This window comes from Homo sapiens, chromosome 3 (genome assembly GCF_000001405.40).
Source record: "Homo sapiens chromosome 3, GRCh38.p14 Primary Assembly".
NCBI classification, from domain to species: domain Eukaryota; kingdom Metazoa; phylum Chordata; class Mammalia; order Primates; family Hominidae; genus Homo; species Homo sapiens.
Genome location: NC_000003.12, coordinates 80,760,304 through 80,764,896, shown reverse-complemented (window position 1 = coordinate 80,764,896; position 4,593 = coordinate 80,760,304). Strand labels below are relative to the sequence as shown.

At 33.0% G+C, this 4,593-nt stretch overlaps 1 long non-coding RNA gene across 6 annotated transcripts in view; it reads left to right on the top strand.

Annotated features, from left to right (window-relative positions):
• Positions 1-4,593, top strand: part of LOC105377177 (uncharacterized) — a 250,124-nt gene that overhangs the window by 5,452 nt on the left and 240,079 nt on the right. The window contains exons 2-3 of one of the 6 annotated variants that reach the window (XR_007096258.1): positions 3,324-3,439; positions 3,692-4,312. The exons of the other annotated variants lie outside the window; for them this stretch is intronic. This is a non-coding gene — a long non-coding RNA (uncharacterized LOC105377177). Of the gene's footprint in view, positions 1-3,323; positions 3,440-3,691; positions 4,313-4,593 lie in introns of those variants that run through there. 6 annotated transcript variants of the gene reach the window in all.

Below are 4,593 nucleotides of genomic sequence, written 5' to 3'. Positions count from 1 at the left end.
GAGTTCATGACCAGAGTGAGAACTTTCTCAGTGCCTTTTAGCCAATCAAATGGTGCTTTTGTTCAGGCCTGCCCATGGACCAATCAGCACACACTCCCCCATTCTGAGGCCATAAAAAACCTGGACTCTGCCACAGAAAGCTAAAGAAAACCTAGGCAATACCATTCAGGGCATAGGAATGGGTAAAGACTTCATGACTAAAACACCAAAAGCAATGGCAACGAAAGCCAAAATTGACAAATGGGATCTAATTAAACTAAAGAGCTTCTGCACAGCAAAAGAAGCTATCATCAGAGTGAACAGGCAACCTATAGAATGGGAGAAAATTTTTACAATCTATCTATCTCACAAAGGGCTAATATCCAGAATCTGCAAAAAACTTAAACAAATTTACAAGAAAAAAAAAACCCCTCAAAAAGTGGGTGAAAGATATAAACAGACGCTTCTCAAAAGAAGAGTTTTATGTGGTGAACAAACATATGAAAAAGAGCTCATCATCACTGGTCATTAGAGAAAAGCAAATCAAAACCACAATCAAATACCATCTCATGACAGTTAGAAAGGCGATCATTAAAAAGTCAGGAAACAACAGGTGCTGGAGAAGTATTGAAGAAATAGCATGCTTTTACACTGTTGGTGGGTGTAAATTAGTTCAACCATTGTGGAAGACGTTGTGGTGATTCCTCAAGGATCTAGAACCAGAAATACCATTTGACCCAGCAATCCCATTACTGGGTATGTACCCAAAGGATTATAAAGCATGCTAATATAAAGACACATGCACATGTATGTTTACTGTGGCACTGTTCCTAATAGCAAAGACTTGGAACCAACCCAAATGCCCATCAATGATAGACTGGATAAAGAAAATGTGGCACATACACACCATGGAATACTATGCAGCCATAAAAAAGGATGAGTTCATGTCCTTTGCAGGGACATGGATGAAGCTGGAAACCATCATTCTCAGCAAACTATCGCAAGGACAAAAAAAACAAACACCACATGTTTACATATTGCTACAACAGTGATTAATATGAAACACTTTAAACATTGATTACAAAGAATTAATTTTTAAATATATATTAATCAGAAGCATTCCACAAATTATATGTTAGAATATTGGGTAATCTGCAGAAATGCTTATTAAAGCTAGTCATTAAGCCAAATGTACATGGTAATCCCACACTTTTTAATATATGAGTGTGTGTTTCTGTGTGTGTATATATTTGTGTGTGTATTCACATAATTATACATACACATAAAATATTTTAAAATTGCATATCAAAAGGTTGACAATATCTCTCACTGAGTTGATTTTTTAAATGTTTCTTTGTCGATATTTTTTAAATTTTGTAAACTTATCTTTTTTTAAAAAAATACTGTTTTTAAAAAATATTTAATATCCATCCCCTTTGCTCTTGTTTTCCAGCAGTAGGTCCACCTTTTAGTACTTTAACATAGTAATCTATTCTGTATGTGCTGACAAAAAGAATGACTTCGAACAGAAAAGAAATGGCAAAAAATTGATATATAATTTTTTAATTTCATGTTTATAAAGTAAGCATTAAAGCATAGTAAGTTGAAAAGCACCAGTAACTCTACAACATAATAATTTTGGCTATGAATTATACAGAAAGCTTGTGTGATACAACGCAACATGAAGAATAATGATCTGTTTCTAAATCAAATGCAGTATACGTTCTTTTTTTTTCCACATTGATTGCTATTACAGTGAAAACTTCCTAGTGTTTTACAGCTATTAGAAAGAACACAAAGAGTCTCTGAACAAAAAAATAATTTAAGGTTTTCTCTTAAGATTTATCATACAATGACAATAAATCTTTTTTGTTTACCATTTCTAAGAGATTTTATCTTTGCTAGTAGAACTGTTTGTTTTTTATTTTTCAAATAACTTTGTAATAAAGAATATGTACCATGAGCTCTATATCATATATCAATAGTCTGGAAACTCTTTGTCCGTGCATTACCAGAAAAAATGTTATGGCAATACCTATAATATGCATACGTCTGGTTTTTTCCTTCATTTGGTCATATTGAGTATTGTATATGCCTGCTGATATATCTCGAACAGCATTCTGCCCTAGTGATGTTTATCTTATAGTAGATGTATATACAGCTGTCAATCTATATGTTAAATGTGAAAAAAATTAATTACTTTTTTAATACATGACACCATTATTTATTCATCTGATAAAATAAAAGTGACAGTTTGTAAATGTCACATTTAATGAATTTCCTTCAAGTATGACCCCTCTATTGTTCTAATATTATCACTTTAAAAATGTCATACACAGAAGAAATGATGAAATTATAACCTTTCTGTGTAAGGCATCTTTCTAAAGAAACCGATGCTAAGTTTTTAAAATAAACATCTAAATAAGAGTGACTGAATTCATTTGGCTAGGACATGCACAACTGAAAGCAGAGATTGTTTTTCTTTAGTTTTAAATTTGACAAACTGTTAAGATGGGTGAGATTTTTCTCCTACTTTATAAGCCATCTTGTGGTGAGGGTACTTTCAGATATATCTAAAGAGAAACCAATCAGGATAATGTAGATTTGATTTATGGATACGTAAACTTTCTATGGGAATCCAGATGGTGAAATAGGCTTTATCTAACAGGAACAGCAGTGGATCTGTAAGTATGAGTTACTTTCTTCTTGTCTGTTCTTCCGCATTGCTTTATTTCTTTTATTTCCAATTCTCATTAGTGAATTTGTTTGCTCAGTGTCACCTGATTTAAACCAAGTCATAAGTTACTAGCCAGCCTATAAAGAGACCAATTTTGGTTTATGCATTCAAGGGTTTTGGAGAGATGAGCAGAATTTAGTTCTATGAAGGGTGAATGCCCACTAAAAAAGTTATGGCTATAAATTCTTTCAAAAATGGTATGAAGAAAAAGATACTTTAAAAATTTCTAATGTGGTTTGATGTGATATTTGTTTATTATGACAGTAGTACCGACATATTCCTTTGTTGTCTACCTTTTCTTTATCTTTCCTTTACTAACTACCACATTTAAAAAAGTAAATGAAGAAAAACTTCTTTCTACCAGTGCATTCTAGACATTTCTAGTAAGTTTAACCGTATTAGACAATATATTTCACCTGTAAAAAGAGCAATTTTATATGACTTAGCCTAATACAATGAATCAATGTAATCCTTTAGTAGAGAGAGTGCTCTATTGGTATTTACTCATTATTCTTATCAAGCTATAAAGGAACTCTTTAAAAAGTGGTGAGCTACTGACAACTTTTTTTTTCTTTTTTTCTTTTTCTTTTTTTTTTTTTTTTGATAGGGTCTCACTCAGTGACCCAGGCTGAATGCAGTGGAACAATCATGGCTTACTGTAGCCTTGACCTTGAGGGCTTAAGCAATCCTGCCACCTCAGCCTGCCTAGTACTGGGACTACAGGTACGCGCCACCACGCCCAGGTAATTTTTTATTTTTGTAGAGACGGGGGCGTCGCCGTGTTGCCAAAGCTGGTCTTTAACACCTGGACTCAGGTGCTCCTCCCGCCTCGGCATCCCAAAATGTTGGGATTACAGACGTGAGCCATCATGCCTGGCCTGACAACTTTCCTTTTTGTAAAATGAAGAAGCATTGGTACATGAATAATTAATGCCTCTTTATTCTGAATCTCTCTGCTGTTTCTCCACTTTTCAGAAACATCAAATATATTCAGCTCCCGTCTCTCTTCAACCATGTAAAATTATTTCAACAACTATCAGCTATTGAAGGTGAAACTGGCATGTCTGTTTGTTCTTCTCTTCCTGGTGTCAAAGACTCTTAAAGCATGCATATAAAATATGAAAGTAAATAAAACGTAATCAAAAATACTAACATTCAAACATTTACATATCATTGTTCCTACTATCCCTTTTTTCTCTGGATCTCTAATAGAAATAACAGTTGGTGTCCATCAAGTGTTAAGTGAATAAATAAAAAATTACCAAATTTTTATATTTGGTATATCTTATATTTCTATATCTATACAAAGAAACCTTATTTGGTAATAAAAAGATATGAAGTATTGATATGCTGAGTCAAAGATTCCAGTCCATTATTACAGTACTGCATTACTATAAAACATCTTGAGTATGCAAATCTATAAAGAAGGAAGTAGGTTAGTGGTTGCTTGTGGCAGGACAGGAGGGGGATATGGCATAATAGCCAAATGGTACAGCATTTATTCTTGAAATGATGAAAATTTTCTAAAATTGACCATTGTGATGGATGCCCATACGTGTGAATATGCTAAACACCATTAAATTCTAATTAAGTGAATTGTATGTTTTGTGAATTATATCCCAAGAATACTTTTTAAAAATGAAGATTAGATTATATCATACTTTACCAAAAACGTTTGTAAGAAGCAATCACGTCTTCTCAGGAAGACGGATTCCTTGAAAGTATGAGAACATGGAGGAGCTTATTTTCTCTGATGGACAATTTCACATAGTCCCTGTTTGTATTTGGACAAAAAATTGACAAGGAAGTAAAATTATAATCTTACTTAGAATAACAATACATTTTAAAATTATAAGAGCAAGATAATATCAACATAT